General features: G+C 46.1%; 2 protein-coding genes across 15 annotated transcripts in view, besides 4 other annotated features; one reads left to right on the plus strand and one right to left on the minus strand.

The window, feature by feature from the left end:
* PPIL6 (peptidylprolyl isomerase like 6) overlaps positions 1 to 17221 on the minus strand; it is a 50957-nt gene extending 33736 nt beyond the window's left edge. For 5 of the 12 annotated variants that reach the window (NR_104429.1, NM_001111298.2, XM_011535766.4 and 2 more), the window contains exons 1-5: positions 16506 to 17221; positions 12154 to 12249; positions 7207 to 7395; positions 3144 to 3206; positions 2897 to 3044 (exon numbers count right to left, since the gene is read on the minus strand). Coding sequence is in view for 11 of the 12 variants with exons in the window: in NM_001111298.2 (NP_001104768.2) it covers positions 2897 to 3044; positions 3144 to 3206; positions 7207 to 7395; positions 12154 to 12249; positions 16506 to 16640 (631 nt within the window). In the remaining variant the exon portion in view is untranslated. The remainder of the gene's footprint in view (positions 1 to 2896; positions 3045 to 3143; positions 3207 to 7206; positions 7396 to 12153; positions 12250 to 16505) is intronic. The other 7 variants (NM_001286361.1, NM_001286360.1, XM_047418673.1 and 4 more) reach the window with 3 other exon arrangements.
* Positions 16269 to 17088: a silencer, noted in NCBI's record as "silent region_17459". NCBI's record gives its function as "represses an Ori minimal core promoter by ATAC-STARR-seq in GM12878 lymphoblastoid cells {active_cell/tissue: GM12878}" and the evidence as "EXISTENCE:reporter gene assay evidence [ECO:0000049][PMID:35858748]".
* Positions 16730 to 16935: a silencer, noted in NCBI's record as "fragment chr6:109761883-109762088 (GRCh37/hg19 assembly coordinates)". NCBI's record gives its function as "represses an EF-1alpha promoter that drives an FKBP-Casp9 reporter gene in an ReSE screen in K562 erythroleukemia cells {active_cell/tissue: K562}" and the evidence as "EXISTENCE:reporter gene assay evidence [ECO:0000049][PMID:32094911]".
* SMPD2 (sphingomyelin phosphodiesterase 2) lies at positions 16774 to 19969 on the plus strand. 3 transcript variants are annotated; one of them, XR_942566.3, is made up of 10 exons: positions 16774 to 17221; positions 17407 to 17503; positions 17602 to 17678; positions 18024 to 18117; positions 18260 to 18349; positions 18593 to 18675; positions 18802 to 18934; positions 19027 to 19131; positions 19382 to 19470; positions 19567 to 19969. XR_942566.3 is itself a non-coding variant. In NM_003080.3 (10 exons), the coding sequence occupies exons 1-10, from the start codon at positions 17172 to 17174 to the stop codon at positions 19953 to 19955; spliced, it is 1272 nt and encodes a 423-aa protein (NP_003071.2). In that variant the 5' UTR covers positions 16774 to 17171; the 3' UTR covers positions 19956 to 19969. The 3 variants fall into 3 exon arrangements, 2 of the variants coding, with proteins under 2 accessions (NP_003071.2, XP_011534381.1); NM_003080.3 differs by having other exon boundaries at positions 19317 to 19470; XM_011536079.2 differs by lacking the exons at positions 16774 to 17221; positions 17407 to 17503 and having other exon boundaries at positions 18010 to 18117; positions 19317 to 19470.
* Positions 17349 to 17418: an enhancer, noted in NCBI's record as "active region_24924". NCBI's record gives its function as "activates an Ori minimal core promoter by ATAC-STARR-seq in GM12878 lymphoblastoid cells {active_cell/tissue: GM12878}" and the evidence as "EXISTENCE:reporter gene assay evidence [ECO:0000049][PMID:35858748]".
* Positions 17579 to 17658: an enhancer, noted in NCBI's record as "active region_24925". NCBI's record gives its function as "activates an Ori minimal core promoter by ATAC-STARR-seq in GM12878 lymphoblastoid cells {active_cell/tissue: GM12878}" and the evidence as "EXISTENCE:reporter gene assay evidence [ECO:0000049][PMID:35858748]".

The following is a 20025-nucleotide window of genomic DNA, read 5'->3' on the forward strand; positions in this document are numbered from 1 at the left end:
GATACCATAGTGAATAAAATAGATAAAAATTTCTGCCCCCATGGAATTTAGAGAAACAGACAATAAACAAATGAACTAAGAAACATATGGTAGTATGTCTAATGATGAAAAGTGCTAGGAAGAAAGATAAAACAAGGTAAGGAGTAGGAGGGTGGCAGGAGGGGTGAGCGGTGTGTGTGGACAGGAAGATGGCAGTTTCATATAGGGTGGTCCGGTAAGGCCTTGCCCAGACAATCTCTGGGCAATAATCAGAAACAGACAGTGGGGTTGGGGGCAGGGGGTGAAACAAGGGATACCTGCAGGAACAGGCTGGGCGGTATGTGCCCCAGGCAAAATAAACGAGGCCTCAGGGCCAATGCATGCTTGATGTGCTTAGGAGGCAGCCAGAGGCTGTGTGTGCAACCGAGTGTGTAAGAGGTCAGAAGATAAGATGTGAGGAGGAGGGGCAGGCAGTGTTGACTGGGTACAGCCTGTTAGTCCCAAAGGGCAAGCAACAGTGCCTGGAGGCATCCTAAGGCACAGCACAAAACCACGTTTAGCTCCTGTCCTCCAAAATTCTACATAGTCCCGTGGTATCAGAGGCACGTGAACCACAGCAACTTCATCTTGAATAGGAGCTGGGTAAAATGAGGCTGAGACCTACTGGGTTGCATTCCCAGATGGTTATGGCATTCTGAGTCACAGGATTAGACAGGAGGTTGGCACAAGATACAGGTCATTAAGACCTTGCTGATAAAACAGGCTACAGTAAAGAAGCCAGCCAAAACCCACCAAAACCAAGATGGCGATGAGAGTGACCTCTGGTGGTCCTCACTGCTATACTCCCATTAGCGCCATGACAGTTTACAAATGCCATGGCAACATCAGGAAGTTACCCTGTATGGTCTGAAAAAGGGAAGCATGAATTATCCACCTTTAGCATATAATCAAGAAATAGCCATAAAAATGGGCAACCAGCAGCCCTCAGGGGCTGCTGTGTCTACAGAGTAGCCATTCTTCTGTTCCTTTACTTTCCTAATAAACTTACTTTCACTTTACTCAACAAACTCGCCCTGAATTCTTTCTTGTGAGAGATTCAAGAACCCTCTCTTGGGGTCTGGATCATGGGAACTGGACATCTGTAGGGAGAGAGGATGTTTCCAGAGTTTGGCACTTCCAACACACCAGGTCATTGAATCCTCACCACATCCTGTGATATTCTTATCATTATCCCCATTTTATGATTAAGAAACTGATTCAGAGAGGCTAAGCAGCTTATCAAGATGGTATAACTTACATGAATCAGAGCTTGGATTTGAATCTAGCAATCCAACTTTTTCCCAAGCCGTCCTTAACATTGCTGTCTCACTGTTTGAAAATATGACCCAAGATCTGTGCACTTTACTATTTGGAAATTTTACTTTAAATAAATAAAAACACAAACAAATAATATGACCTACTTTTCCCAAATCTTGCAAGGGTGGTGGGAGCTAAGCAAAAACAAAAATAAAACGAAACAAAAGAATACAGCATCTGAGGCTGGGTGTGGTGGCTCATGCCTGTAATCCCAGCACTTTGGGAGGCTGAGGCGTGCGGATCACCTGAGGTCAGGAGTTCAAGGCCAGCCTGGCCAACATGGCAAACCTGTCTCTACTAAAAAAATACAAAAATTAGCCAGGTGTGGGGGTGGGCCCCTGCTATCCTGGCTACTCGGGAGGCTGAGGCAGGGAGAATTACTTGAACCTGGGAGGTGGAGCTTGCAGTGAGCCGAGATCGTGCCACTGCACTACAGCCTGGGCGACAGAGCGAGACTCCGTTTCAAAAAAAAAAAAAAAAAAAAGAACACAGCATCTGAAAGCCTAGCACATGAGAGTCAACACTGAACTCATTGTCAGGAGCCCCTAATATTAACAGGACCCCTTGAGAAATGTTTTATACTAACAAAAAATAGAAAACCATCTAAATGTTCACCAATGGGGAATTAATTAAACTGGTATAGCAATATGATAAAAAAAACTAGGCAGATGCTAAACATTTTGTATGTTTATGTTCATTGGCATGGTTAGATAGACACCACATATTCAGTGGAAAGACACAAAATGGAAAAACACTTGAAAGTGAGGTTAGATAACAATATTTGTGGTATGATCTCACTGTGGAGAAACCAAAGGGAAAATACCTGCTTTAACATGTAGGATGCTTGGAATATATCTATATTTTTCTCCTCGTCAGCCTCAGAATGTTCCAGATCATATAAAAAATGGTAAAAACTAATTTAAACTTCTCCATGTGTCATCGAGTTCAAGCAAATTTCCTTTGACACTAAGCCAATTATGTGTAAATTACTGCCTGGTTGCTTCCTATGGACTATCCCCCAAAAGGCGCCCAATATTCAATTCCATGCTTTTAATCAGACACCTAGTCTATGTAAAACCAAAGGACTGACCTGAAAAGAAAGAGAACATAGAAACCAAAATCCTTTAGACATTTCTTTTTACTTGTAATAATGTAACATGTTTGGTGAGAAATAAGTTGTTTTCCATTTACTATATTTTCAAATTCCCACTCTTAGCATACTTATTAAAACCGCTGTATTTCTAGGTACTATGTATTTAGGTGAGCATTTAAAATTTGTAAAAATAAAATTGGTAAAATAAAATGTCACCCTACTCTCCTATGTCATTTTTGAATTTGGAATATTCCTGGTAACATAAATTAGATTTATTTATTTTAATAATTAGGGTGTTTTTTAAAGAATACAAATATCTTACTTCATTATTTGGCTATATAAAGCATTCTTTAAATACGTCTAATTTTAAGTATATCTAATTCTACATACATTTCATAAAGATAAATGAAAGTTTGGACCTTCTCATTTGATATTGCAATTAACTCGTATTTAAGATTTTAAACTTACCCCCTCCTTGTATCCAGCCATTCTGTACTATTCGATGAAAAATGGAATTTTTGTAATGTAGTCTTATGCCACGTTGAGAAAACCCTGCTTTTCCTGTGCACAAGACCTGAAAATTTTTACATGTTTTGGGACACACATCACAGTATAGCTACAAAATAAAGACAAAAGGTTTCAAAGATTAAATATTTAACACTCCAACAGTTATAGATCCTACCCCCACAAACTTACATATAAAAAAAAGTATCACCTCAAAAATCAATCTTCCAATTGGAGAAGAATCAATACAAATGTCCAAAAACACGAAATCATGCTGTGAAGATTAAGGAGAATCATATAATGCAGGTCAAAGTCTTACAAGAAAGTTTTCAGAAATGACCAAAAATACAGCAGATACAATATTTTTAGTGAAAAGATTTCAATAACATTACCAATGGATAATATTACAGTAAAATTAAGTGAATGACTTGTATTAGTTTATTTCATTTTATCAAGTTTTTATAACCCACTTTACACATTTTAATTTTTATTATTGTATTTATTTATTTATTTATTTTTGAGACAGGGTCTGGCTCTGTCCCCCAGGCTGGGGTGTAGTGGCACCATCTTGGCTCATTGCAGCCTCAACCTCCTGGGCTCAAGTGATCCTCCCACCGCAGCCTCTGAAGTAGCTGGAACTACACACATGCACCACCACCAGGCCCAGCTAATTTTTGTATTTTTGATAGAGATGGGGTTTCACCACGTTGCCCAGGGTGGTCTCGAACTCCTGAGCTCAAGGGATCGCCTACCTTGGCCTCTCAAAGTACTGAAATTACAGGCGTGAGCTACCGCCGCACCCAGCCCACATTATACATTTTAAAAACCTTTCCAGAGTGAAAGCTCTGGAGAACATTAACCTATCTCACAGGAGTGAAACACATGGCCTAGATATCTACCACATCACAACTAGGTGTGGAAATAGCCACACCTAGTGTGGGGAAGAAAACAGACAGGGGATTCTTCTCTACTTCGCTTCTTTCCTATTTTTGGGAAGGATCCATCATGAACATCATGGATTTGGTTACTGTGCGTCCTGGATTTTCAGAGACAGCACAGATTAGCTAACCAGAGCCAGGCCACATCTGTTCTGAGTGGGAAAATCAGGTCCCTATATCCATAGCAGGTGTAGCACCAGAGATAGGGAAGAGAAGGATGCTGGGCTTTCAAGTTATATTCAATAATACCCTCATGTGCACAGATGCCCTCAGCTTGTCTTCACTTGATATCCTTTCTCATAGAGGAAAACATTTGTGAGACCTTGTCTAGCCCTACAAAGAGGCATTCAAAATGAAAATGCTAGTTTCAACATAATAGCATTCATTTAGGGGCTAAAGCACATTTAATGGAGTACATTTCAAGTCTTGGGCACCATTCTCCTACATTAAAATGCCACCCTGGTTCATGCCTGTAATCCCAGCACTTTAGGGGGCCAAGGTGGGTGGATCCCTTGAGCCCAGGAGTTTGAAACCAGCCTGGGCAACATGGTGAGACCCTGTCTTTACAAAAAAATTAAGAAATTAGCTGGGCATGATGGCATGTGTCTGTAGTCCCAGCTACTTGGAAGGCTGAGGCAATAGGATCACCTGAGCCCAGGGAGGTTGAGGCTGCAGTGAACTATGATTGTGCCACTGCACTACAGCCTGGGTGACAGAGTGAGACCCTATGAAGAAAAAAAAAAAAAAAAAACCACCTTATTGAGCAAGGTGCATAACTTGTCCTGTCCTCTTTCTTAAGAATCTAGGAAACATGAAATTAAATGTATCATATTTTTTATGTCACTCTAACTTTTTTTTAATGAAAAGACTGAAATAATATTGTGCTATCTGGCATCTAGCAATGAACTGTTCCATCCATACTAATTATAATTAATTTGTGCCTCTCAGCTTCTATACTACAAGTTTTTAAGTATAAAACAGAATAGTGTAACTAAAGAATAGGAGGCATAATATAGTAAACTTCAGAGGCTCAGGAGGATAAAGAGGATATATTGGAAATCATGGCTGACTTAGGAAATGGACTTACTGTCCATTCAGACACCATTAAACTTCCCTGCGCATCAAGATATTATCTTTATGAGATAGTCCAGAATAGATAGTTCTGAAAATGCCAATAAGAGTTCAAATGAATGCAACACAAGGTAATGTCCCAGTCATCTAGCAGCCAAACAGGCAAGCATATTTATCTACCATATGGTTCTAACCGGAAGTAAACAAATCCCTGGGTTTTATTCAGGAAGAAAAGTCCACCCTCTGTGCAAAAAAAATCTATTGTCTCTGGAACGCTTCATGACTATCCTCTATCCTCACTGCCACGAATTATTTCGGGCTTTCATTATGTCCAGCCCATGCTGCTATCCAATCCCCTGCTCCCAAGCTCTCCCCTACTCCAGCCTGCTTCTGCACAGACCTAAACATTTTTCCAGAAAAACAGAGGATTACGTCATACTCTTTTATGGAAAGCTCTGTTGGTTCAGTTTCCTTCTGGATAAAATCCAACTCCTTCGTTCAGATGGACAATAAATCATAACCCAGCCTCAATCTTTCTTTAGGATCTATTGGATTTTTTTTTTCCTAATTAAAATCTGAGTACCCTTCCTATCTGGGGAACTCCTCACAGGGTCCCACCACCTTCACTAGAACCTAAAGGGGCCAGATTCTCCCTCTCCCCATGCTGAGAGCACCAGGTTTTGGGAATATGACCTAGCCTTGCCAGCTAGGTGCTCCTGCCTGGGCTTAGGTCTCCAGGGAGTGATGAAAAGACACTGAAGCATTGAACAGTTAATCTCATTGAAGGTGGAGGTGTGAACAAGGGCCAGCAGTGCCATGGCAGTTCCCTGGCAGCACATCCCTGCAGTGTGACTCTGGCCATGTCTTCCTGCTGCCAGGCCTCATTGGTTCCCGCCTGTTTTCCAAAGCTGTTGTCCAGCTTTCCTGTCAATTGTGAGATAACAGCATCCTTTCAATACACACCTTTTCGCCTTCGATCAATCAGAGGAGCTTGGTAATGCTGGCACCAAGAATCTTGACTGAAACTCATCTTCCCAGCTTCTTTCCCCACAAATTCTGGCCTCCTTGCTGTCCCCCTGCCATTCCCAGGGCATGTACAGCTAGACTCCTGACCCTTTGGGAATTAACTGTTTGAACATTAAATGCCTCCCCACACCCCAGAGTTTCTAGCATTGTCAAAGTGCACTGTTTATTCAATCAAACATGCACTGAGCACCTATTATGTTTCAGGTCTGTTTGAGCAGTGGTTCAACAAGGATGAATGAGACAAGGCCTTTACCTATGCACAACTCAGATCTTAGCATTGGCTCACTGTAGGCACAGGCCGCCATGGGCATGAAATGATTTTCTGCACAATGCAGTTGTTGCTACAAGAAGGTTTCTGAGCAGGACTGCAAAGTACCTCCACCCCTACTGCCATCACATCCTGATAACTATCTCTCATCCCTGGACCTCATGCTTCATGACTATCCTCTGCCACTGGAAACCTCCCCACTGGCACAGCCTGTCTGGGCTTGCTCTTGCTAACTATGTGTTCATGCTTTTTTTTTTTTTTGAGACGGAGTCTCGCTCTGCACCAGGCTGGAGTGCAGTGGTGCGATCTCGGCTCACTGCAACCTCCACCTCCCAGGTTTAAGTGATTCTCCTGCTTCAGCCTCCCGAGTAGCTGGGATTACAGGTACACGCCACCACGCCCAGCTAATTTTTGTATTTTTAGTAGAGATGACGTTTCACCGTGTTGGCCAGGATGGTCTCGATCTCTTGACCTTGTGATCCACCTGCCTTGGCCTCCCAAAGTAATGGGATTACAGGCATGAGCCACCGCGCCCGGCCTGTGTTCATGCTTTAAAATGTCACCTTTCTTCAAACAACTTTCCATTCTCTTAGCTCAGCAGCTCTTGCCTAGATGTTGGACAGTCTTAATTTAAATATTTCACACTCAAGATGAATGGATGATAGGTTTTACCTTCTCTGAGGGGGTGGTCTTTATATTTTAAAATAGGTAATTCATGCATATAAATCTCTAATGGGAAGTAAAAATGTCTGCACAGAGATGATCTCCCCGTGCAGCCCACGGGCTGTGAGACACACTTGCTTTACATACCACCATATTACAATCTTTTGCAAATGGAAATGGAACTAGGCTTTAAACTTAGTCTCCTACTTTTTTATAATCTCCTTCATTAGGACATCAATAATTAATGCTGAATCAATATAAAGGGTCAAAGATTCCACAATTTTTCTTTAAAAGTTAGTATAACTTGCCTTGGTGTCTCTTAAGAACTTAGCGGAAAAATCCTCAGTGAGTGCGTCATAAAGTGCAGAGGGTTTAATGTCAACTATATCCCACACCTCGTGGGCCCATTTCTGCAGATCCAATGCATCACCCAGAAACTGACCATTAACAAAAGAAATCACAGAGGAAGAATATTCCCAGGTTTCATTTTTGAGTTCCTGTAAGGGAAAAGGACAAAAAAAAAAAAAAACGTAAGAAGTGGGGGGAAAACTTGCTAAACCCATAAGCCAGAGCTTAGGATCAACTCTAGGTCTGAATTTGTCAACTCTAGTATTGAATCTTTTAAAAATAAGTTTTTATCGTCCTTCAGAATTTTGCTCTCAGAAAGAACTTAAGAACATTTTTAAGAATCTGACATCACTAAAAGTAAAGAATGATCTAAAAAGTATCATAAAAATGTTACAAATGAAAAAAAATTTATCTGAGGAATGTGAGCCCCTTTAAATTATCATGCCCAGAAAGGCATTTAAAATGTAATAGCAGTTATGTCTCACTCTCCCTTGAGCTAAATAATTACCTCCACTTACTATGTGGGCTCTAGACTGACACCAAACAGCCATAAAAAGCCATCCACCCTATAGTTCAACAACATATAGCCAATTGCTAACCAATGTTATTTCTGTAAATCAATGACAATTCCTGACCAACAGCTTTTGTAATCGCCCTTCTTCTGATTCATTCTTTTTTCTTTAAACACTTGAGCCTCTATTTTGTTCTCTGGAGCACTCCCCAAGGCAACTTGGAAATGTGTCCTGGGCTGCAGTCCTCAACCTTGGCCCAAATTAACACTCTATATTAATTTTGTTTCAGCTTCTTCCTTTTAGGTCGACACATTAATAGAAGATAAATGGTAATCTGGTAACAAAAATCATCATGAGCCTGGCATACCTGTTAATATATTAACTTGCAAACAAAATTCAGTCTCTGTCTTCATTCCTAAAGCACATTTTACTGTGTGCATACTTGGAAAGGATAGGGGGTCCAGGTAAGACATGGGGTTCAATGCAGAGGACTGGGAAAATGTTTTTTGGGTAGTGTGGGGCTTAAGGTTAGGAAATGACTTACGAGGGTCAACAGGGATTTCTGGGGCACAACTAGGAGCAGTGAGGAAGAAAACTCACCTTCCTCAGCACAGTGCCTTCAGCCCCTCAAAATGCAGTGTGTTAGTGTTTTCATCAACACAACGCTGATGGTAAACCTTCTAAATCTCCGGTGGGCTTGAGGGACTTCCCCTCTGAGGAGATCTGGTTTATTATTACCCAGTACCAGCCAGGCAAACCATGAATAATTTGGAACAGCCATGCTCAAACTTTCGTGGGCAATGAGAATCACTGAATCTGAGATTCTCATTGATCTCAGATTCTCAGAATCACAGAATCTGAGTCCCCTCTCCCTTTCCCCCAATATTCTGATTCTAGGATGGTGCCTGAGAATTTGCATTTATTTATTTGTTTTTTGGAGATGAGGTCTCACTATATTGCCTAGGCTGGTCCTGAATTCCTGGGCTCAAGATCCTCCCACCTCAGCCTCCCAAAGTGTTGGGATTATAGGTGTGAGCCACTGTAACCCGCCAGAATGTGGATTTCTAACAACCTCCTAGGAGGTGCTGATGTTGCTGTTCTAGAGACTGCACTTGGGAGAAACACTAGTTTGAGGAACAGTTTACATTCAACTTGCCAACTTGCTTCATTCTCCTCAGCAGATTTAATATCCTATTGCTTGCTTCCTATGCCCTTATCAAAACCTGCTTCTAGGCAGAGAAGAGACTTGCTTATGCTGAGCTATAAATCACTGATAGAGCCAGTTGGTCGATACTTCCTGGAGTGTTTAAATTTATCAGTGTTACCATATTTTACAGGACCCAAAACTTTCTTTTTTTTTTTTTTTGAGACCGAGTCTTGCTCTGTCACCCAGGCTGGAGTGCAATGGTGTGATCTCAGCTCACTGCAACTTCTGCCTCCTATGTTCAAGTGATTCTCCTGCCTCAGCCTCCCGAGTAGCTGGGATTATAGGCGCCCACCACCATGCCCAGCTAATTTTTGTATTTTTAGTAGAAATGGGGTTTCACCATGTTGGCCAGGCTGGTCTCAAACTCCTGACCTCAGGTGATCTGCCCGCCTCGGCCTCCCAAAGTGTTGGGATTACAGGCGTGAGCCACCACACCCTGCCAGGACCCAGAACTTTCTAAACGGGAGAAAAAAATGTCACTGTGGATATTTCAGCTAGCTTGGTAGGAAAAATGCAGTAGAAGGTATGTTTTATTTGGAGGCTAAAGATGTAAATGCCTTCCTCTGTCTCCTCTATACTTAGGGAGGCGTGCTCGCCTGCCTCATGTGAACAGCATGGACCTGATGGTTTCTAGGGCCTTCAGCACTAAGAGTATGAGGCTGCCTTCTTTGGAGCAGAGAGAGGGACCTTCCCAATGGCCCTGAAGCCATCCACTTAGGGTGGCACTTCATTCTGCTGAAGCCTAAGGCCAGTTGAACCTAGTGAGTTCAGAGAGACCAAATGAGCTAAGAAGCACTACTTATGACACAAGACACAATACTTACATTGATGAAGGACAAGGGACTACCTGAGAAGGAAGAAAAGGTTAAGGTAACAAACAGCCAGAGGAGAAGGGAGGGAGGGGGATGAAAGGAAGGATAAGGAATATCACAGGTGGAACGAAGCAGCAATGATGAACTGGAAAGCCTCATTCAAGACCCATGAGAAAGGCAGGAGGAAGAGAACACAAAACATCTTGAGGTAACCTAGGCTGAAAGGGGAGGGAAACTGGGGAATAGAATCCACACCAATTTCCTAGAGTCCAGTGGGAATTCAAAAGAGGAGTGGGTGCAAACCACAAACCATGAGACAGTTTTCCTGTGGGTGGAGAGCATGACACTGGTAGGTCACATAACAAGTTTGATAAAAAAGAAAAAAAAAGTATTGTTTTATATTAGGGTGACCAACAGTTTTGGTCTGCCTAGGACTATCCTACTTTTAGCACCAAAATTCCCACATCCTAGGAAACCCCTCAGTCCCAGGCAAACCAGGACCGTTTGTCACCCGAGTTGTTGGAAGGATTATAATTTATGTATATAAGCTGGGCACAGTGGCTCACACCTGTAATCCCAACACTTTGGGAGGCCAAGGTAGGAGGGTTGCTTGAAGCCAGAAGTTTGAGACCAGCTTGGCCAAAATAGCGAGACCCTGTTTCTACAAACAAAGAAAAAAAAGAATATATATGTGTGTTTGTGTGTGTGTGTGGGTGTGTGTGTGTCTAGAATACTGTCTGTCATATAATAAGCAGAATTGTAAGTGTTTGGTTCTATTTGAATTCCAATGAGAATCTTTTAAGGCTATGAACATGTGAGGCTTAACAAATGGTATTCTTATTCAGTCTTGCACCATTCATGTGACTGAACAGAGAATGAAGTGGTCTCATAAAACCGTGCTGCTTCCATGATAATTAATCACAGGATCACAGGACATCCTTGTGCAACCCAGCACAGAACAATCGAAACTGCTCTGGTCAAGGGAAATGAGGTTTCATCAGCCATGGGGGAGATGGGGTGGGGCAGGGAAACTAGGACTGGGACCATCTACAAGACTAGGCCAGGGGTGACAAGCATCCCACCCTCCCCAACACAGGATATTGCTAAGCCAGGATGCCACCTTAGCATTCTTCTCATCACATGCTCCAGGCAGCACTACCAACTGAACAGGTTGTCACCCAACAGGAAAACTATCATCCCTGGACAAGCTCTGCTAGCCCTAAGGTGTGGAGTTCTCTGAGGGTATAGATAGAGGGGAGAATGCAGAGAAGGAAGCTTCAACTAGGACAGGGTTGCCCTGTGGGAGCTTGGTGTCTGTCATCAGAGCTTCCCCAGGCAACAGTCCCACAGAAGCCCCTGGCTGTCTCTGTGATGTACACCATCAACACTTTCCAGAGTTTAAGGGCCAAGAGGGCCAGGCCACATTAACCAGCTCGGTGCCAGGGTGTGAGAGGAAGTATAAGTGATGTGCAGGGAGACAGGGTAACTAACCATCATCAGCGGCAAACGGCACCATTGATTTTACCTTTATCTCATGCTTTCCAAAGGAAAATTCTGTAAATGTTGCACTTTTTTTTTTTTTTTTTTTGGAGACAGAGTCTCACTCTGTCACCAAGCTGGAGTACAGTGGTGGGATCTTGGCTCACTGCAACCTCCGACTTCTTGGTTCAAGCGATTCTCCTGCCTCAGCCTCCAAAGTAGCTGGGATTATAGGCACGCGCCACCATGCCCAGCTAATTTTTGTATTTTTCGTAGAGACGGAGTTTCACCACGTTGGCCAGGATGGTCTTGATCTCCTGACCTCATGATCGGCCTGCCTTGGCCTCCCAAAGTGCTGGGATTACAGGTGTGGGCCACCACACCCAGCCCAAATGTTGTAGTCAAAAACAAAAACAAGAACAAAAAACAGCTTGGTGGCCGAGCTCAGTGACTCACGCCTGTAATCCCAGCACTTTGGGAGGCCGAGGTGGGTGGATCACTTGAGCTCAGGAGTTTGAGACTACCCTGGGCAACATGGTGAAACCCCATCTGTTAAAAAAATACAAAAACTAGCTAGGTGTGGTGGCGTGTGCCTGTAATCCCAGCTACTTGCGGGGCTGAGGTAGGAGGACTGCTTGAATCCAGGAGGTTGAAGCTGCAGTGAGCCAAGATCGCCCCACTGCACTCCAGCCTGGGTAACAGAGTGAGACCCTGTCTCAAAAACAAAACACCTAGCTTGGTAAATGATTAATACAATTTAGGAAAAGTACGTAATGTAGAGAAATAAAATCTAGTTACACTAAAATTACTCTTTCAGTTTTTCCAAAACAATGCATAAATAATTCAGGCAAAACTTGGCTTGTTGTCTATATCCCCCACACCCCAAATATCCTTTACCCTTTTTTTCTCCTGTAGATATTGATGCCATGCAAATTCTTGAAGAGGAACTAATATAGGATCTTCAAATTTGGATGGATGATTATTCTTCAGATTCTGGATTTCGAAATAGAATAATTATTTTAGAGTTAGTTCTCTTTTAAAGTCAAAATCATGTTCCCCAATTTTTACGGGGTTTCCAGAAGTTTTATACAACACAAGCCCAGGCCATGCAGTCCGACTGAGATATTCCTTGCTCGCTGTCAGAGGCCCTTGTGTTCACCTCCAAGTTGCTCCCCAGTCCAGGGAGCTTATTTGTATAAGTGCCTCGAAGCCAAGAACTATGTCTTAGAGGCTGGGCGCAGTGGCTCACACCTGTAATCTCAGCACTTTGGGAGGCTGAGGTGGGCAGATCACCTGAGGTCAGGAGATTGAGACCAGCCTGGCCAACATGGCAAAAACGTGTCTCTACTAAAAATACAAAAAAATTAGCCAGGCATGGTGGGTGTGTGCCTGTAATCCCAGCTACTTGGGAGGCTGAGGCAAGAGAATCACTTGAACCTGGGAGGCAGAGGTTGCAGTGAGCAGAGATCACGCCACTGCACTCCAGCCTGGGTGACAGAGTGGGACTCTATTTCAAAAAACAAAAAACAAAAAAACAAAACAAAACAAAAAAAACTCTGTCTTAGTATTCCTATATTCCCACCTGCCACAATCTCTGGCACACAGCAGCTGAATAAAGAGAGGAATACATAAATGGGTTAACGCCAATAGCTTTGTGATATGCTATGTTCTTTAAGACTAGTTTTTCCCTAAGTACAACTCTTGCTAAACCTCGGTGGATCTACAGATACTTTACTTATAACTAAAATAAATAAATAAATGTTCTTGCTTTAATTCACTGATGAATGGGGGATGACCAAAAAGATAATAACGTTGTGGTTATACCCCTTAGGAAAAAGAGAAGTACGAAATCAGTTTAGGTTTAGATACGGAATATGTTCTAGTTTGACATAGATTGTCTGCAGGAATCAGAGAAAATTCTTATTGGTTAGCAATCCAGGCTTGGTTCTTGATATTCGTTATACTTTGTCTCCCTCTAAAGCAAGAGAACACAGGTGAAGCAGTAACAGGCCTCTTTTCTGAGTGGGTTTGGGAAGTAGATGGACCAAAGGGAAAAGTGACAGCTGCTGCAGGTGGCACTTCCCTGCTAGGGACAGTGCTTGGAGGTCCTGTCATGGTCCAAAAGAGGGTGCTGGCCTAGCACAGGTCATCAGGGGTGAGTATTCCAAGGGGAGAAAACCAGGATGTGAGTGTGGCCTACTTTGGGAATACTCATGAAGAGGGCAACAATAATTAGGCCATTTCCTTCTGTCCCCAAGCAATAGCTGACGCATCTTGTTTCTCAGTTCCAGTGTCTGTGCTCAGTTTGAGGCAATACTGCAGGTTGACTACTATTTCTTTTCTTTTTTTTTTTTTTTTTTTTTTTTGAGACGGAGTCTCGCTCTGTTGCCCAGGATGGAGTGCAGCGGTGTGACCTCAGCTCACTGCAACCTCCGTCTCCTGGGTTCAAGCAATTCTCCTACCTCAGCCTCCCAAGTAGCTGGGATTACAGGCACCCGCCACCACGCCCAGCTAATTTTTGCATTTTTAGCAGAGACGAGGTTTCACCATGTTGGCCAGGCTGGTCTTGGCCAGGCTGGTCTTGAACTCCTGACCTTAGGCGATCTGCCTGCCTCAGCCTCCCGAAGTGCTGGGATTACAGGCGTGAGCCACCGCACCTGGCCCGGTTGACTGCTATTTCTAACCATCTGGAATAAACTATAAATCCAGCAGTTTTCAAATGAAACACATGTCTTTTTAGTAATTTAGTATTTGTTGTAGAACGGACTATATCCAAATGAAAATGTATGCAATATTTGTTCCTATTCTCTACAAATTTCAATCTTTTGTGTGTTTGGTTTTTACATTTTGTTTTTTATTTTTCAATTGACATATAATAATTGCACATATTTATGGGGTAGTGATGTCTCAATACATATAATGTATACTTATCATTAGCATATCCATCATCTCAAACATTTATTATTTCTTTGTGTTGGGAACATTCAACACAAATCTAAATCTTTGTCAGTTAATCAGGCATCTGGGATCGCTCACAAATTATCATGTTAGGAATACATTCAGATATCCTTTATTAAGACAGAACTAGAGGCTGGGCATCACCGTGGCCCATGCCTATAATCCCAGCACTTCGGGAGGTCGAGGAGGATTGCTTGAGCCCAGGAGTTCAAGACCAGCCTAGGCAACACAGTGAGACCCCCATCTCTTCCAAAAAAAGAAAAAAAAAACTAGCTGAATTTTCATATTTGAATATAACTACAGTAGGTAAAAGTTTAAGAAAGGGAAAATTGACATTATTAATACAATAAAGATATTGTTTTCTCGACCTACTGTCTTCTACATCAGGGGTTGGAGAGGAATAATTTTTAGATTTGTAAACAGTTTTTTGTTTTTTTTTTTAAGACAGAGTCTCACTCTTGTTGCCCAGGCTGGAGCACAGTGGCACGATCTCAGCTCACCGAAACCTCCACCTCCCGGGTTCAAGCGATTCTCCAGCCTCAGCTTCCCGAGTAGCTGGGATTACAGGCGCCCGCCACCATGCCTGGATAATTTTTGTATTTTTAGTAGAGATGGGGTTTCACCATGTTGGCCAGGCTGGTCTTGAACTCCCGATTTCGTGATCTGCCCGCCTCAGCCTCCCAAAGTGCTGGGATTATAGGCAAGAGCCACCGCGCTCGGCCTGTAAACAATTCTAAAAAATCAAAAGAATTGTATTTCACGTTATGTGAAAATTATACGCAAGTCAAATTTCGTGTCCATAATATGGTTTTACTGGAATACTGTCATTCATTTCCATCTCTGTGTCTGCTTTTGCAACACAGGAAAAAGCTAAACAGGTGTGACTGAGACCCTATTGCCAAGAAGGCCTAACATATTTACTATCTGGACTTTACAGAAAAAAACTTGTCAACACTTTCTTTACAATGTGGAGTCGGCACAGAAAATATGTGCCTTCAGAAAAAGAGCGAAAAAAAAGAGAAAAAAAATCTCTGAAACTCATTAATACATTAACTTTGTAATTAACTTCATGGCCATTAACTTTGGTAATAAAAGGTTGCTGATCCCGTCTGCCCAAGCAACACAGACCACAATTTCTACTTTTGATGATTCATGTATTATTTTCACAGACTTCTGATCACTTGTTTTCTTTTTATTATTTATTTATTTTGAGACGGGGTCTGGCTCTGTCGCCCAGGCTGGAGGGCAATGGCGCGATCTCAGCTCTCTGCAAACTCCGCCTCCCGGGTTCAAGCGATTCTTGTGCCTCAGCCTCCTGAGTAGCTGGGATTACAGAGACCGCCACCACGCCCGGCTAATTTTTTGTATTTTTAGTAGAAACGGGGTTTCACCATGTTGGCCAGGCTGGTCTAGAACTCCGCCTCTGCCTCCCAAAGTGCTGAGATTATAGGCGTGAGTCACCGCGCCAAGATATCTTCTATTTGGGAACATTTTGTTGTCAAGTATCCAGCTGGGTACTTCGGGAGTTAAAAACATTAATTAAGGCATGGTCCTGGAGTCAAGTGAGCTTCGGCGAGAAGTTTGCCATGGACAGCATTTCTGGAGCAAACCCTGTAAGAAGGGCTGAATTCTACATGCCGACATTTCATACATTTCTCCTGCATTTCAGGTTGTAAGTGTGCTGCAGCATGACTGATCTGGCCAAATTCTTCCAGTTTCCTCAAGTGCTTTTCCTTTAGTATCGTTCTGAGTGTTTACAAAGAAATGATTTTCCAAAGCACTTGTGAAGCATCTAGTTCGATTGGAACGCAGTGACGGCTCTATAAAATTCAAAGAAAAGAATCTCCCCGCATGAATAGTTAACAAAAATCGCTTGGGCCGAGGTGGCGGGGTTGTAAAAATTAGCTAGTTATATAGTAATCATTTTTCCATAAATTTAAATATCTCTAATTAAAGAAAAAATTGACGTAGAACAAAATCTGCGGGTGTGTGTGTGTGTGTCTCGGAGGGGATTACCTTATCTCCCAGCGCGGTTCTGAACCCTTCCTTCGCTCAGTTCTCCCTTTAAAAGTCGCCAAGTGGAACGCCCGCCCCCGGACCCGCACTTGCCCCCCTATACTCTCCTCCCGGTCCTCCAGACGGAGCCCGCCCGGCCAGGACACGCCAGCCCCTTCCTCGGCCGGTGGGGCCTCGACCCCCGCCGCCTCGAGGAGGCGCGGCGCCTGCAGTCCACGCGGCCGAGAGCGGGTAGCGGGGAGGGCCGCCCACGACGGAGGTTTCTCTGTGGTTACCTCAGCGGCGCTCTTCGCAATCTGAAAGTTGGGGCAGCTGAAGAGCCCCACCACCTTCACCTGCAGCGGCCGCTCCGGCAGCGACGGCGAGCCGCACCTAGCGTGCGGGGGCCCGCACGGCTGCGGCCTTGCCATGGCCGCGCCCGGGGACGCCCGGTGACCCCAAACACTGCGCGTCGCTCCGGCAACCGCGCGGCCCCGCCTCCGCCGCTCGCAGGAGGCGGGGCCCAGGGGCGGGTCGAGGGCGGCCCGTGGCGGCTGGGCCTTTCCTCAACTTTGCGCCTGTTGCTGGGCCGCCGGCGCGCGGGCGGCCGCGACCGCCGGGGACGAGCTTGGAGGAAAAGGAACCGGGAGCCGCCCACCCGGGGGCGCTCTCCGGACCCCCAGGGTCCTAGCGCGCGGCCCTTACCGAGCCTGGGCGCCCGGATTTCGGCAGCGGATCGCCTTTCCGGGTTGGCGGCCCGCCTGATTGGGAACAGCCGGCCGGTTGCCGGGGGAACGCGGGAGTCGGGCCCGACCTGAGCCACGCGGGCTTGGTGCCCACCTGTGCGCGCCGCCTGCGAAGAAGGAACGGTCTGGGGAGAAGGCGCCGCCGGCCGCCCCCGTCCCCACCGCGGCCGTCGCTGGAGAGTTCGAGCCGCCTAGCGCCCCTGGAGCTCCCCAACCATGAAGCCCAACTTCTCCCTGCGACTGCGGATCTTCAACCTCAACTGCTGGTGAGTGCGTCTGCGGAGTGCGGTCTGGGGGCCACCTTCCGTTCGCACCCATGCAGCCTTCCTCCCCCTATCCCGCCCCACGATCTCAGGGTGTAGGGAAAACCCGAACCTCCAAAGTCCACATCTGGCCCCAGCGCCGGTGGTCCCAGCAGTCGCCTCCCCTGCCCCGCTCTTCCCTTCCTTAGGGGCATTCCGTACTTGAGCAAGCACCGGGCCGACCGCATGAGGCGCCTGGGAGACTTTCTGAACCAGGAGAGCTTCGACCTGGCTTTGCTGGAGGAGGTGAGATTGTGCAGCACGGTGCGGAACCCAGGCTGGGAGGAGGGACAGACCGTCCCACTGGGGAAAGACCAAGCAGGCATCCTCACCGCTTCCCTCAGGTGTGGAGTGAGCAGGACTTCCAGTACCTGAGACAGAAGCTGTCACCTACCTACCCAGCTGCACACCACTTCCGGAGGTGAGAAGCCCACTGGCCTGAAGCCTGTTGTCATCCCAGGAGGCTCTTGGCCCTGCCAGCCCTTCCCTATCCTGCCTGCACTCTCCAGTCTCCTCCAGCCTCCTCTCCCTCTGGATGTGAGAGAAGGAGAAGGGTGAACCAAGAAGGTCCTATGACTTCAGCCCATTTCAGCTTTGTTTTCTGGCTGCCCTATACTCCTCCAAAGGCTGTCGCCTTGGTTCTAGGGCTAGTCCCAGCAGTAGAAAAAGAAAAAAATAGCTGATCAGAGCTGGAAGACAAGGGAGGGGAAGAAGGCTGGGTGTCTCTCCCTGTTTTTCTGGTTATTAAGCAGGGCTTGGCTTTCAGCGGAATCATTGGCAGTGGCCTCTGTGTCTTCTCCAAACATCCAATCCAGGAGCTTACCCAGCACATCTACACTCTCAATGGCTACCCCTACATGGTAAGGCAGACCTTTGACCTCTTCCACCTCCCTTCCCCACCTCCAGTAATACAAGGTAGAGGAGGCAGCCCTCTGAGAGCTGCAGGGGATGGGCAGAAAGATGGTGGCGGTGCCCTGAGTTTCTATCTCCTCCTGCCTGCAGATCCATCATGGTGACTGGTTCAGTGGGAAGGCTGTGGGGCTGCTGGTGCTCCATCTAAGTGGCATGGTGCTCAACGCCTATGTGACCCATGTGAGTGAAGCTGGCAGTGCCTAGGGCTGGGACATGCAGCCCAGTCCTGGGACAGAGAGATGGTACTTCTCTAGCTCTCATACCTGGGGATGAGGTGTGGGGGCAAGATCTTATAAGGAAGCAATGGGCAAGGCTTATCCATTGTATACCAAACACCATGCCAAGTGACAGACACAGGCTTGATTCAGACATACCCCTGGGACCCTCAGTCTTATCTGCTGTGATCTCATCTATCTTGCTCAGCTCCATGCCGAATACAATCGACAGAAGGACATCTACCTAGCACATCGTGTGGCCCAAGCTTGGGAATTGGCCCAGTTCATCCAGTGTGTGAGCCTGGGCTTGAAATGGGAAGTGGGATGGGACCCAGGGGCTGAGGGTGAACAAGGCCCCAGTCATGGGGAAGAGCTGGTGATGGAAGAACTCCCGCCTCACCAACCTGGTTCCCCCAGCCACACATCCAAGAAGGCAGACGTGGTTCTGTTGTGTGGAGACCTCAACATGCACCCAGAAGACCTGGGCTGCTGCCTGCTGAAGGAGTGGACAGGGCTTCATGATGCCTATCTTGAAACTCGGGACTTCAAGGTGAGGACTTGCCTGTTACTTCCCCACCTATATCCCCAGCTTCTCTCCCTCCTTCTCCCCCACATCCTAGCATGAGCCAATGATTCCCTTAGGGCTCTGAGGAAGGCAACACAATGGTACCCAAGAACTGCTACGTCAGCCAGCAGGAGCTGAAGCCATTTCCCTTTGGTGTCCGCATTGACTACGTGCTTTACAAGGTCAGGCTCCTCCCTTCAACATGCTTTCATATGCTGTGTCTCTTTGTCTACTAACCTGTGTAGATCCTTTGCTCAGCTAGTCTAGTCTTGGACCACTGATGGGTGGAAAGTGGGGTAGCCGGGAGCTGGTTCTCTGGGAAGAGGCCCTCATATATAAGCTTCTCTCTGGCCCTTACTTTTCCTAGGCAGTTTCTGGGTTTTACATCTCCTGTAAGAGTTTTGAAACCACTACAGGCTTTGACCCTCACAGGGGCACCCCCCTCTCTGATCATGAAGCCCTGATGGCTACTCTGTTTGTGAGGCACAGCCCCCCACAGCAGAACCCCAGCTCTACCCACGGTGAGTCACCCCCACCCTTTCCTTGGCCCTTGCCCCGCTTGAAGCAGCCCTTCCACTCTTGACTCTCTCCTGCCCCACTGCCCTGCTCTGTTGTAGGACCAGCAGAGAGGTCGCCGTTGATGTGTGTGCTAAAGGAGGCCTGGACGGAGCTGGGTCTGGGCATGGCTCAGGCTCGCTGGTGGGCCACCTTCGCTAGCTATGTGATTGGCCTGGGGCTGCTTCTCCTGGCACTGCTGTGTGTCCTGGCGGCTGGAGGAGGGGCCGGGGAAGCTGCCATACTGCTCTGGACCCCCAGTGTAGGGCTGGTGCTGTGGGCAGGTGCATTCTACCTCTTCCACGTACAGGAGGTCAATGGCTTATATAGGGCCCAGGCTGAGCTCCAGCATGTGCTAGGAAGGGCAAGGGAGGCCCAGGATCTGGGCCCAGAGCCTCAGCCAGCCCTACTCCTGGGGCAGCAGGAGGGGGACAGAACTAAAGAACAATAAAGCTTGGCCCTTTAGTGGCTCTGCCTTTTTCCTTGTAGAGGCGATGGGAGCCAGGGGTCAGTGTGACTGT

This window comes from Homo sapiens, chromosome 6, assembly GCF_000001405.40.
Source record: "Homo sapiens chromosome 6, GRCh38.p14 Primary Assembly".
Taxonomy (NCBI): domain Eukaryota; kingdom Metazoa; phylum Chordata; class Mammalia; order Primates; family Hominidae; genus Homo; species Homo sapiens.

Coding starts and splice junctions, on each gene's coding strand:
- SMPD2 (NM_003080.3), top strand. CDS start 17,172: ATGAAGCCCAACTTCTCCCTGCGACTGCGGATCTTCAACCTCAACTGC. Junction 17,222..17,406: donor ATCTTCAACCTCAACTGCTG/GTGAGTGCGTCT, acceptor TCCCTTCCTTAG/GGGCATTCCGTACTTGAGCA. Junction 17,679..18,023: donor GCTGCACACCACTTCCGGAG/GTGAGAAGCCCA, acceptor CTTGGCTTTCAG/CGGAATCATTGGCAGTGGCC.